At 45.2% G+C, this 13,973-nt stretch overlaps 1 non-coding gene and 1 pseudogene across 1 annotated transcript, besides 1 other annotated feature; both read left to right on the forward strand.

Moving 5' to 3' along the window:
• Positions 4,224–4,518: a silencer, noted in NCBI's record as "tiled region #2596; K562 Repressive non-DNase unmatched - State 7:EnhWF". NCBI's record gives its function as "represses a minimal TATA promoter and a strong SV40 promoter by Sharpr-MPRA in K562 cells {active_cell/tissue: K562}" and the evidence as "EXISTENCE:reporter gene assay evidence [ECO:0000049][PMID:27701403]".
• Positions 5,111–5,308, forward strand: LOC441914 (dynactin subunit 5 pseudogene; annotated as a pseudogene).
• On the forward strand, positions 11,657–11,754 carry MIR557 (microRNA 557). The gene has a single exon (NR_030284.1). It is a non-coding gene; the product is annotated as a microRNA 557 (primary transcript).
• The last annotated feature ends 2,219 nt before the right edge of the window (positions 11,755–13,973 follow it).

Raw genomic sequence — 13,973 nt, forward strand, 5'->3', positions numbered from 1 at the left:
GACAGTGTGGCAGAAGTCCCCTGTGTACTGCCCCACTTCCCCACCACATGAATGCTCATATTCCCATTGAGCTCCAGGTGTTGGGAGGACAGGCTTGCCCTGCAGATCTGGCTCATACTGTGGATTTGCGCTCAGTCCCCATTCAGCAGCTTCTCTTTTTGCTAGTTCTTCAACTCCCAGTTATGCTGGTTGGTGATATGTAATGTGTCACTTTGCTGGCACGAGATTATTTAGTTTTCATGGTAGCCTTAATAATCTTGTGACACCAATTACTGTTCTATAATGGTAAGAAAAATAATGGCTACCATGTTAAAAAATGTATCAGATACCAAGCATGGTACCTGGCTGTTTACATGTGATATTTCTTTTAATCTTCATTTCCTTGAGGAAGATATAATTTTTTCCATTTTGTAAGTGAGGAAACGGAGGTCAGTAATCATTAAGTAACTTTCCCAAGGTCCCAGAGCAAGGAAGAGTAGGAGCTTGGATTTCTAAGCCTTTGTCTGACTCCAGAGCCTGAGCTCTAAACACTGTACTATATTCTCCCATCATGCAGATGGGAAAAAGAAAGGTGAATTTCACCATTACCTTTGTAAAATGCCAATAGTAGATTCCTTAGGCTAGAGCTTGCTCTTCTCTAACTCACTGTAATGTTTACTTTTGAAGTAGAGAAACTCCGTAAGCATGAAACCAATGTAAGCTTGCCCTCCAGCACAGCCACATAGATACGCTCAAACCACACCAGGCAGACATAAGCCACCCAGTCAAGGTGGACTGTGAGAGGGGCAGGTGGCAGTGTCAGCTCTAATATCTTGTCCTGGCCACAGTCTTTCTTTCCCTACCTGGAAGAACATGCAATGCATTGCCCGCTTCCTTTCCCCTGTCTTGCTTGTCTTGGTTTTTCTCTTCTCCTCCCTTTCCCTCTCCCTCTCCTCTTCTCTCTTTTCTTCCCTTTTTTCTTCTCTCTCCCTCTTGCTTTCTTTCCTTTCTAGCTTAACAATATTCCCCACCTTATCCCCTGGAATTTTGCCCAGGTACTTTAGAAGAATCTCCCTCCTTTACTTCCTTTTCTTTTTTCCTCCTTTATCTCTTTTATTTGTTTAGTCCATTTGTAGACCATTTTTTAAATTATCATTGATAAATGCATGAATATTGCCATCAAAACATCAGTGGAAAGGAAAGTTCTATATCTGAGGGTGAAATTAGGCAACTGGTATAGTCAGGATCAAAAATCCTGGGAGTCATTTTAGAAAAGCCAGGTCTGGCGTGGTGCCTCACTCCTGTAAACCCAGCACTTTGGGAGGCTGAAGCGGGTGGGTCATTTGAGGTCAGGAGTTCGAGACCAGCCTGGCCAACACGGTGAAACTGAAAAAAAAAAAAACCAAAAAACAAAAATTAGCTGGGTGTGGTGGTGGGCTCCTGTAATCCTAGCTACTTGGGAGGCTGAGGCAGGAGAATCGTTTGAACCCAGGAGATGGAGAGTGCAGTGAGCTGAGATTGTGCCAGTGTACTCCAGCCTGGGTGACAGCGTGAGACTGTCTCAAATAAAAGAAAAAAAAAAAAGAAAATCCACACAAGTTTTTAGATACATCTGAATACAATTTTAATGAAAACTGCTTTTTTCTCAAGCACTGAAATGAGTAAAAACATTTAGTGATGGGCAGTCGGCTAAGACTGGGAAAGCAGAAAAATAATTAAATAAGAAAAAAATCATGCACTCAAAGAACTCCCTATCTAGTTTTACCCATTATTTAAAATCATCTTTGACATTCATTCCTAGTATCAGAGTTATTTGTCTCTCCCTACTAGGTGACTTTTCTTTCAACTACATTTTGGATGGGAATTTTTGCAGGTGGTTTTGGAACGCAGCCACCTTTTATAAAAACAATTCTATGGGAAAATGCATTTTTAAGTTCACAGAAATGGACTTGGACACGAGTGGAACACAATCCCTTTGTACATGAAGGCTGCTCTGTGAGCTTCATTGGACGACTACTCTCTGTCACTAGGTTGACTTACGGCTGAAAGAAATCTGTATCTGGCACCACCTGGTGTTTGAAGGAAAGGAAGTGCTGCTGTCAGCATTTGTCCCAACCTTTCACCTTATCATGACACTAAGAAAACTCCAAGCTGGCAATGACATCCACAGGGGTAGAAGCAGTTTTCTAAATGGGACTGGTATTTCTACCAGCCATTCAGTTTGATCTTTGGGTTTTAGCTTTATGTCTGTCCTCTTGTTACAGCCCTTCCCTGCCACCTTTCCTGGCTCCTGCCACTCTGTGACACTTTCCTCTACCACGAGTGGGTCACTTTATCCACAGAAATCATGTGGTGGCCTGGGAATGCTGTAGCTGTGGAGTGGCCGGCAGGGGAAGGGAGACGAGGGCCCCTGAGAATCTTGGTTGTGCACTGACAGCAATTGGAGCAGGGTGAAATAGATAAGGGCCATGAGAGGGCTGTGTCAGCTGTGGCTAGCACTGTTAGGATGGTAATGATGATGATGATGCCAGATGGAAAGCTTGGGCAGGGAAAGAATGGAGGAAAGGAAAGAGGGGAGCGTCAGATTCTTCTGTTACTGGAAGGCTCGTGAAAGAAACAGCAGTACTGGGTATTTCATAATACATGCCACTGGGTGAGAAAATGAGTTTCCTGAAATTATTATTTTAAAAATGGCAGTAAAGAGAGTCTACTTAAGTAAAATTAGTCATGAAAAGTATGGGGTCCACAAATCTGGAGGTAGATTTAAATCAGGCAGAGGGCCCAAAAGAGGATGGGGCAGTTTGATAGATTATTCTCTTTACATTTCCTCTAAGCTTTGATTTTTTTCAAAACATCAATGCTGTGACCATGGACTTATGGAGATGAGGTTGGGAGGTGGTAAGGAGAGGAGAGCTCAGAATGTGTAGATCTCTTAGCTGAAAGAGCTGCTGGTGTACAAGGGAGGTGACTGCATAGTTATTTATGAGACCATCGGCAAACTCGGAGGCATCTTGTTTTTTGAAAACTATCTTCAGGAAAACCAGGGCTCCCTAAATATTATGGCACATAGCACCATTTTCTGAACACTTATGAATGCTCGGAAGATATATAATTCTGTCAGAGAGTTACTTATTTAGCCAACCTGTGTTTACTCAATACAATTCTCTGGCTAACAGAATAGGAGGCAGGGGGTGAGAGAAAGGTGTAAAAATAAAGATAGGGCCCCTTTCTTGAGAAGCACATATTCCTTATGAAAAGACGATACTAATACGTAGGGATCAATGAAGGCAAGATTGGAGGCAATACATAAGGCAATATGGTACCATGTATAAAACCTGTAAATGGAGACCAACGGGGAAGGCCAAAGCCCCCTGGGTGGGCTGGCTGAGGAAAGTGGCATGAAGGAGTTGGGATTTGAGTTGGATCTTGAAAAGTGGGAGGATGTCAGGTTGGCAGAGGGGAAGGAAGTCACTGTCGGTAGAAGAATAACCAGCTGATGAGGGAATAGGGAATAGATGTACTGAATTGGCACAAAGGGCAAGATTTGAACTGAGTGGAAGTTGGGAGTTAGGGACAGGCCAAAGTGAGAGTACACAATCCTATTAGCCAGTGTTGTGTTGATTTTTTTTTGTTTTTTGAGACAGGGTGTTGCTCTGTCACCCAGGCTAGAGTGTGGTGGCATGACCATGGTTCACTGCAACATTGACCTCCTGGGCTTAAGTGATCCTCCCACCTCAGCCTCCTGAGCAGCTGGGACCACAGGCGCATGACACCATGCCTGGGTAATTAAAAAATTTTTGTGGAGAAGGGGTCCCACTACATTGCTTAGGCTATTCTTAAACTCCTGGACTCGAGCGATCCTCCCACCTTGGGCTCCCCAGGTGCTGAGATTACAGGAGTGAGCCACTGCTTCTGGCTGATTCTTGATTCCACAGGTGATGGGGAGCCACTGCAGATGTTTGGAAAGGAGGAATGACATGACTTGAATCATAGACACACTTCATTAGAGTTGGAAGAATCCTTAGAGAGCATAAAACTCAAATCCTTCATTGCATATGTGAGGAAACTGAGGCCCAGAGAGCAAAGATGATTTGTTGAAGGTTGTCCAGCAAGTTAGTGGCAAGGCCAGGTCTCTGATACCACCTAGCAGTCCAGAGGCCCTTCCCTAATGTTTCAGGGTCCTGTGCTCTTTGGCATATTCCAGTCTTGAGGACAGAGTCCAGGTCTGCTCATGGTTGCTGTCTTCTGCTGACCCAGACTCTGCCTCTGCCTCTTCCCTGCCACAGTCCCTGTTTTCTATCTAAGATTTGGACATCCTTGTGAGAGAAGCAGCTTCCTTTTGGTGCAGAGAGCTAATTCCAAACAATGATTGTATTCAGAATGACTGGGGAGTTGGAAATACGGCTGATGAGTAATCTATCATACAGCTTGGACATTTGTTCTTTCATCAAATATTTACTGAGCACCTAGTAGGTAACAGGCACTGTGCAACATGCTGAGAAGACAACTGGGTTTTTAGGCTAGTGGAAAAAAGAGAATGAGAACATAGCTTAGGAAGTGACATGGGTACAGAGAGCACTGACCCAGTGTGGAGCAGGGGTTGGGAAGGCAAGGAGCAGTTGGGCAGGCAAAGAGATAATGGGGAAGGAAGGAGGGAGAAAGAGAGAAAGGGAAGAGAGAGGGAGAGAGAGAGAGAGAGAGGTGATTTCAGGGTTTGCACGAGGCTCAGTGTGTCTGAAGCAGTGTGTGCTGGCTTGGGAGACTGGGAGATGGGGCTGGAAAGGTAAGTGGAACAGACTGTAAAGTCTTTTATCGACCATTTAAGAAGCTTGGATTTTAAATAGCAAAGAGTGGGGAACAACAAGTGTTTACAGATGTCTACTCTATCCCAGATATTGTCCTAAGCCTACTACTAACCTCAATCAGTTTTTAAAGCAACTCTAAGAGACTGGGGCTATTATTATTCCCCTTTTACAGATGAGAAACCTGTGCTAGAAATGAGAGTCAGGATTGAAACCAGGTAGTCCAGCTTCAGAGACCATGCTTTTTAGCACAGCCCCTGGCCTTTGTGGCCTCATTTAAGGGTTTCAGCAGAGAAAGGACATGGCCAGATAGAAATATTGGAATGGCAGAAGTAGCCGGAATCTCAGAAAGACTGACTGACTGACTCTGACAGGATCCGGGGCTGAAGGAAGGAGGCGGTGACCATGGAGTTAGGTGAGCTGCTCTACAACAAGTCTGAGTATATCAAGACGGCATCTGGGAACAAAGTCAGTCTCCAGTCAGTGTTGTGTGGAAGCCAGAACATACTTCTCAATCGCAAGACCATGTGGTGAATGACTGTATTATCTGAGGGGATCTGGAAAACATAAGAGATGGACTCCATTGTGTTGTGAAAAGTTGTAGTGTCATAAGGCCACCATTCAAGAAATTCAGCAAAGGTGTTGAATTCTTTCCTTTACATATTGGGGACCATGTCTTTATTGAGGAAGAGTGTGTGGTCAACGCAGCTCAGATTGGTTCTTGCATTCATGTTGGCAAGAACTGCGTGATTGGGTGCCGGTGTTTGTTGAAAGACTGCTGCAAAATTCTTGACAACACAGCATTACCTCCAGAAACTGTGGTCCCACCATTCACTGTCTTCTCAGGCTGCCCAGGATGCTTCTCAGGAGAGCTCGTGGAGTGCACTCAGGAGCTGACGATTGATGTCACCAAGAGCTATTATCAGAAGTTTTTGCCCCTGACACAAGTCTAGCATCTCTGCCTCATGTCTTGAATCTGCTTGAGCTCTAAGATGAACCTGGGGACAAAGTAAGCTAGTCAGCACCTACAAAGAGCTCTTGTGTCTTTGACATCTACCACCCTCCTTCTTTAAAAAAATTTCTTTAGAATTTCTCAATCCTCAAGGCTCTAAGCTCTTAAGAATTTACTAACAGATGGACCATCTGGAGGAGTTGTCTTCAAATGCTGTGCTTACACCTTATCTGTGACCAGTCACTTTGTACCATTATCCGTGGAACACAGAATCATCTGTTCCCAACGCTCCAGCCCCTTGGTCTTGTGCATGGCTGGATCCCACCGGAAACGGGCCTGCACAGCAGCAGCACCCTCCTGGTGTGGAGGTTATGTAGCTGGTGAGCTGCTCACAGCCATACACTGCCCATGCCGAGCACCTCCCACACAGGTAATGCCCAGCTTTTCTGCTGTTAACACATTTGGCCAGTTGTTGCAATTGCTCATAATCCTGGGAAAAGGTGTTTGTGACTTTTCAGAGCCCAGATTCCTGTTGGCTATTAAAACTTGAAGGGAGGGGTGATTAGTGTTTCTCTCTCTTCTTCCTAAAAGGACCTTAGCTGTCCTAGGGTAGTTAGTAAAAGGCTTTTTACCATTTTGACCTAGGGCCTTTGGCTTTCACTAAAAGTGGGGACCTCAGCATCCCAGATTTTACTTCTGCCAAGTGTTAGATTTGATTCTCTCATGTGGATGCGTTAGTCAGGTGGTTACTCCTTGCCTCAAGGTACTTACCTTATTTCATTGAAGACACCGCATTTGTGAACTCTTGCTCCCTGGCCTAGAAAAATTCAGCCTACCCTGTTTTTGCCATAAACTCCACAATTCACACCAAAATGTCTGTACTTAGAGACCATTTGCATCTATACATGAAGGACTCTTGAAATCAGTTTGTGGGCACAGAGCCCCAGGAGTAAATGAAGTTGCTAGGGCTATTCTGACCATCTCCTTCTGGCCAACAGCACAACCCTTCCTGGTTCTGCTCTGACCTCTTAGCTTAGAAGGAAGATTTAGAAGTGAGGGGCTGAGAAGGTTGGCCTTGCTTAATGCTCTGATCTGTAAGTGAATAGGGCAGAACGGTTCAGCCTTGAAGGTTAGAATTTAGCACGAGCTATCCTGACTTAACGTCCATTTGTGGGGTTTGCAAAATAGAACAGCTGTATGTAATCATTTCCACTATTTCCATGTAGAACTCCTTTCTAGTTTGTCAGTTTTTAAAAACATTTATACATTAAAACCACCAAAATATATAGCTCAGACAAGATGGAAGTTAATTTCTTTCTACCTTAACAGTGCAGAGATAGTCACCTGGTCCAGGCCAGGCAAGTGGCTGGCTCCATGATGGCATCAGGCACCCAGGTTTCTACTGTCTTGCCATGTGACCACAGTTACCAACAAGGGAGGCTGCAAATTTAGTTTCTACTTGGGCAGCCAAAACTCTGAGGAAGGAGATTCTGCTAGTAAAAAGGAGTGGGGGGAGAATGGCCACTGGGAGACGACAAGCAAACTCAACCAGGCCTCTGTGTTGGCTTCCTTTCCTCCTGCTGCACGTGAGCCTTCTCTGTGCCATTTGGGGCCATAACAGCTGACAGCTCCAGTCCTGCATCCTCCCAGCTTGAGGGTCCTGAATAAAAGGTTTCTTCCAGTCCAGTTCTAATTCGGAAACTCCCAAAGTTCTCAGTGGTTTGTTGTGAGTCCCCATGCCCTCTTGGATCAGTCACTGTGGCCATGCGTGTTTGGCCACGTGATTAATCCAATCTGGGTCATGACCTTTTCTCCTCCAAAACAAGGTGCTAGGAAGACAAAAACAATAGCTACTACGAACAGTAGGAGTTTATAATTATGTGCTGATGTATTTGAAGATGTTGATGGTCGTGAGTGTGTATCCTCGGAAAGGCCAGCTGGACTCTGTCTCCATGGTGGCTCTCACCCTAGGGACCTAGGAACAGTCCGTCACCACAAATTACTTTTATAACCCTAGAGAAGAAAGTCTCCTTGTCCTCAGAATACTTCCTGAAGAACAACCAGATGGGAAGGACCTTGATTGGGACTCTTTCCAGTGGGCTTGGGGCAGAGGGAATTTAATGGCTCACATAGCTGAAAAGGCAGGGCTAGATTGGGCTTTGGGCTGCATCCCAGAACTCCAAACAGGGATCTGTCTCTTCGGCTCTCAGCTCTGCTTTCCTTTGAGTTGGCTTTATTCTCGGGCTCCATGGTGTGGCCCCACAGCACCAGTTATTGGTAAAAAGAGCTCCCATTTGCTGACAGAACTGCTGGATTTAGTTCTCATTGGTCCACACGAGGAAGGTATCCAGCCTCAAGTCATCACTGTGGCCAAAAGATGGAATACACTGAGTGGACAGGCCTGGCATGTGTATCCACAGAGACTGAGAGTTGGTGCTGATGGTATGGTGGTGGATGAGATTACCAGAAGAAGGGACAAATGGGTGCTGGGCAGGAAAAAGCATCAGCTGCCCAGTTTAGGCCTCTCCTCTTTCCCTGGCGTCTTCACTTTTCCTCCCTATCCCTGCTGTTCCTTACCCTCTGCCCAGTCTCTCAGTACTCCTGGTCTTGGGAAGGTGCCTTCTGAGGATGCTCCTGGCACGGGTACCTGAGCCTGGATTAGAGGGCAGGGGGAGGATGTCGCCTAGCCAAAGTGGGTGTTCAATAAAGAACCATTTGGAGATGGTTAAAAAAAAAGAAATGTTAGAATGACCACTCTGGCCACAGTGAGGGAAGACCTGGGCCAGGTAAGGAAAATGAGCTGTGAAGAGCTGCCCTTGAAAAGGGTGGGGCTGTAAGAAGAAAATCATTATCTTCAGCAAACTGGAAGACGCTGCTATCTCTGATTCTGGAAGTGGCAGTTGCTTCCTTCACAGTGCGGTCAGGAGAGCCTTATGCACACTGAGGCTTTTTAGCTGCTGGAATAGATGCACATTTGTGGGTGTTTAGGAGAAAGTCACAGAGCTGACTGAGGAAATGGAGGAGGGACGATGACAGTCAGAATTATGTATGACTGAGCCAAGTGCCTCCCGAGGGCTACAGTGGAAAGCACTGGAAAAAGTCAGATGGACAGAAAGCAGGAGGGCGTGGGGCACAGGAGGAAGGTGCAGCACCAGTCTACACACCCTTGATGGCAGAGAACTCTGTCAGTATGCCCCATGCAGGAGCATCGTTCCCCTTAAGGCAGAATAGGGAAGAGAGGCAACATCTTGGGTGGACATTAGGAAACACCCCCAGCAGCAAGGGGATGCGGGGAGATGATGACCCCTGAGTGTCCAATCAGCTCCTCTGTCAGGCGTGAGTCAGCCTCAAAGAGGAGCTTCCCAAGCTCAGCTCTGGATTCTGGCCATACAGAGGTGGCCTGGCCCCTCACTCATGGCTCTGCTCCTGGGGCAGAGCCTCTAGGGAGAATAACGCAGAGAGGCAATGGGCTGGGAGAAGGAAGGAATTCTGCAACTGGGGATGACGTGCCAGTGTTCAGCTTTGCCTTTTCAGCGATAAGGCCTGTCTGTTGCTGAAGGGTGAGAAGATAAAGGAATAATGGCCACTGGGCCTGACCCAGGAAGATCCTGTTCTTCACCCTTCACAGCCTAAATTACTAACACCTAACACAAGGCTTAGCATGCAATTCATGCTCAAAATGCCTGCAGTGCACATCAGGAAGTCCTGCAAAATCAGATTGATAGCTGGAAATAGTGACGGCATGAGGGACCGACAGATAGGAGAGGTCAAAAGTGTATATAGAGTTTTGCGTTTTGCAAACCCAGACTGGGGAAGAGTTGAGTGGGCATCAGTCTCGCTCTGGAGTGGGACAGTGGCTTCTGAGACAGGACACTTCCTTTATAATAAGGAAGCCTCTGAGACACTCCTCTTTTGAAAACAGAGAGAAGGGACTTGCTTATTGGGTTAAAAGCTCATCTTGTTCCAAGTCTTTGCTATTGTGAATAGTGCCACAATAAACATACATGTGCATGTGTCTTTATAGCCATAAAAAATGATGAGTTCATGTCCTTTGTAGGGACATAGATGAAGCTGGAAACCATCATTCTCAGCAAACTATCGCAAGGACAAAAAACCAAACACCGCATGTTCTCATTCATAGGTGGGAATTGAACAATGGGAACACATGGACACAGGAAGGGGAACATCACAAACCGGGGACTGTTGTGGGATGGGGGGAGGGGGGAGGGATAGCATTAGGAGATATATCTAATGCTAAATGACGAGTTAATGGGTGCAGCACACCATCATGGCACATGTATACATATGTAACAAACCTGCACGTTGTGCACATGTACCCTAGAACTTAAAGTATAATTTTAAAAAAAAAAGCTCATCTTGTAAGAAAACCCAGGTTGGCTGTGGACTTTTCATGGGGAGGATGCTGCAGCCTGCCTCCCTCCTGCTGCAGGCTGACTCATTCCCTTCTAGACAGACAGATTGTGTCCTGCGTGGGAGTCGCGATGCAGAGCCCAAAGCTGTTCCCTGAGAGTTACAGGAATTACAACCTGCTGAAGGGAATAATTGTTCTAAATATGTTCTTTTTTAGTATATGTGTGCTGAAGCGAGCACTAAATATCTTCTTTTAATGAGACTTTATTTTTATTATTATTTTATTAATGGAGTCCTAAGAGGAAACAGCAAGAACCACTGTCTTTAGAAAACCATTTGCTTTTCTCTTTGGAGGTGTTTGGTCAATTGGCTCTGAATTCTAAACCCTCCAGTCAGGTCAGGCCTGACTTTTAGTGCCCCTGTGTTTGGAGAAAATCCTGGGCTAAAATCCCCCAATAAGGCTGCTGCCTTGGGATCAGAGTCTCTGGGTGATCTCCCCTGGTACATAGCATCACCTAGGGATCTAATGCTTAGCAAGGACCTGAAGAAGCATTACTGGTTCATTATGGTTAGGACCTGTCAGAACAGAGCTGACGGCTGTCAAGGCCTCCAGGGCAAAGAAAAGAGCACATATCATACATGTTATTTTTCCATGTGCCCAGGCAGAAAGCTCACCTCCCCAGGAGGAAGCTGGGCTGGCAGAGGTCCTCATTGCTTGTGTGTGGCACCTCCTAACGTCAGATGATTGCTTTTGGTTCTGTTCTGCTAGAGATGTGGCAAGAGCTAAATTTTTAAACATTCCTAGTTTGCAAAGCTTGGGTACTGTGCCTGGTGGTTGCTGATAATGCAGGAGACATCCAGGCCAATTTTTACTAAGTGAATATGAACAAGAGAGGGCCCTGAACAGCAAGATCTCCACTGGGGGTCATCAGGAGGTAGGCTGCACACAGTGCCCAGCTGGCTTGTTAATCCAGCGCAATTTAACAACTGTCTGCCGAGTGCCTGTTGAAGGCCTGGGGCGGGAAGGTGAAAGGTAGGCCCACCTCAAGTTGCTCGTGGATAGCAAATTCTTCTTTGATAAAAGTGCTGAGAACTCAGCTTTATCATGTATAAAATGGAAGTATAGAAACCTAATGGTGTCCTTGGGAGAATTTAAAGGTACAATGCATGTAAAGTATGTTATACATGCCTAGCCCATAGTAGGTGCACATTATTTGTTGAAGGGATAAATGAATGAAAGTGAATCAAAGGAACAAATATGAGTCAAGCATGCATATTGTGCTGATAGGTAGTAAGTCTGAGCTAGTATTTTAACCCACTTCCAGGTGGGGGAAGGTGCAGGTTAATTTGGGATGGGCTGACCTATTACATAAGTCAGAGAGTGTGAAGGCTGAGAGCTGATGATCAGAAATGGGTCTCAGAGTGTTGGGTTGAGTTGGAGGCACACAGCCAAAGTGTTATCGGACCAAGGGGGCTTTGGGAGATTCTTGGGAGCCAGGGCCCAGCATTAGTGGTGATCAGAAAGGCAGGGCCAGATCAAGGGTGTGCAGACAGAATGGGCAAATGAACAGTAAATTTGGAGGCCTGGGGCCCTCCCTGCTGCTGGAGAAGTGTTTGCACGGGTGGGCCTTGTCTTTGAAAGGAGGTGGAGAAAGGAAGCTCCTTCTATGAGGCACTTAGATTCATTTCTATCTTCCTAGCCTGAGCACAGAGAAGTATTATATTAATACATACTGGTTTAAAGGTTGTTTCTCTTTCCACTGCTTCCACCAGTTTACAGCTTAGCCTAAGAGATAAGGGTGTAGACTGCGAGCCAGGTTCCTCTGTCTACCTCTGCTCTGCCTCTTACTAGGTGTGCAGTCTTACTAGGCAACCTCCTTCTGTCTCAGTTTTCTCATTTGTTAAATATGAATAATACCTCATAGGGCTGTTATAAGGATTGGATGAGTTACCATAAGTCAAATGCTGAGAATAGTCACTCATGCATTGTAATTTCTCCAGCAACTCTTAGGCATTATCATTACCTTCACCACTGAAATAAAGATCCATAGAACTCTGGCAGGTAACCAAGCAAGAGAGTCCTGATTGGGAGGAAGGACCTTTGGATCTCATCCTACAATGTTGTATCCTAATGCCTAGAGCCTGGCGCACAGTAGGTACTCAATAAAAATTTGTTATTGTTGAATTGTATAGAGTGGGGTTGCTGGTGCAGGGTAGGGAAGGAAGGACAGGACCCAGGGTCCTTTAGGCAATTGCCTGACTTCGGGAAAATGAGGCAGAAAATTGGTGAGGGTCTCCGGACTTGGGACCCAGGCACAGCTGGGATTCTGGGGCCACAGACTTGGGGACTGATCAGTGTGGGGAGCAGGAGAGGCAAGGGAGAGGGAAGAGTGAGAATGACTCTGACTGTGGCCAGCTCCATTCTTGGATAGGCAGAAATCTCGTGTTGAGTCTGTAATCAGCTCTTTAACTTGCATAGGATAGGAGTGTTGGGTCAATATTTCTGGTTATCAGGAGTCTTTTATGTAAAATGGAAATGATAATACCAAAAATATGTCCTGCTTTTCTAAGTCATATGTTTGTTAGTAAGTATCAAATAAGGCTATACCTGTGAAAGTGCTTAATCAACTGTAAATTACCATGGAAATATTATGACCAGTATAATTTTCTATCTCATTGAAACCTTGATTCCTTAGCATGTCTTCAACTTTTCTGTCTCTGGGATATTTGCATTTTCAGAGAGAGTCTAGAAAAAAAGCCTTAATTATGTCAACGGAATGAATGGTGAAGACTGAAATATCAGAAAGGTGCTTCTGTGCCAGAGAACTTTCTAATCCTGCACACGAGTACTATGATCGCTGGGAGAGAAGAGCCAGGGAAGAAGGTTTAATAAAAGGGTGGCTGCAAAATGCTTCTAATTTCCATTACTGCTAACCTCCACAATTCTGTCTGTCCTTCTTTTTTAATCTCACTAAGTTGTAAAGTGTCACAGAGGGTCAGGATGGGAACTCTGTCCGTGAGGCTAAGGTGAAGGCAGGAATTGGCCTTGGGGGACTTCTGTCCCCAGAGAGTACAATGCCTGTTGCTTTTAAATATCTCTTATAAATAAATTGAAAATATCATGTTGCAGTAATATTGAATCCACTTGTACACATGCAAAAATACCTCCAATGAACCCTCCAGGGAAATATTCCCCTTCAACTTCTTTCCTTGTGCATGTAAACCTCTTTTTTCAATATTGATCAATCTACGTACAGCAAATCATGTATAGCAGGAAGCAACCCCTTCTTTTTTGAAAGAGGGAGTGTCATTCTCTTTCCATTTGGAAGATGATTGGGAGAGATAAGTTTGATTCTTATTTCCCACAGTTTAGTGAGGAATGAGTGGAACAAACTAAGGAAGGTTTTAGTTAGGGAAGTAACACAGTTCTGTAGAGAAATCACCACCTAGTTGCATTTAAGGAGCTGTCAGCCTTGAAAGTTAAAAGAGTGGACTGGGCGCCGTGGCTCATGCCTGTAATCCCAGCATTTCGGAGGCCAAAGTGGGAAGATCGCTTGAGCCCAGGAGTTCAAGACCAGCCTGGGCAACATAGCAATACCCTATCATAAAAAAAAAAAAAAAGTTAAAAGAGTGAGTGAATTTCAAGTGCTTCCTGGCAGGTGAGGTATCCGCTGTTTATCCTCACACAGAAATGTTTTCTACCCTCCTTTTCATTGACTATCAGAGCTACCTGACCAGAAGAATTGCCCTTATGCATAATTTCCCTCTCAGCTCTCTTTCTCATGGATGTTGATTAGTTAATGCGTACATTTGCTTAAAGATATTAATTGAGCAGTATTTGATTTTATAGTATGGCTTTTAATAGTAGC

This window comes from Homo sapiens, chromosome 1 (assembly GCF_000001405.40).
Source record: "Homo sapiens chromosome 1, GRCh38.p14 Primary Assembly".
Classification (NCBI taxonomy): Eukaryota; Metazoa; Chordata; class Mammalia; order Primates; family Hominidae; genus Homo; species Homo sapiens.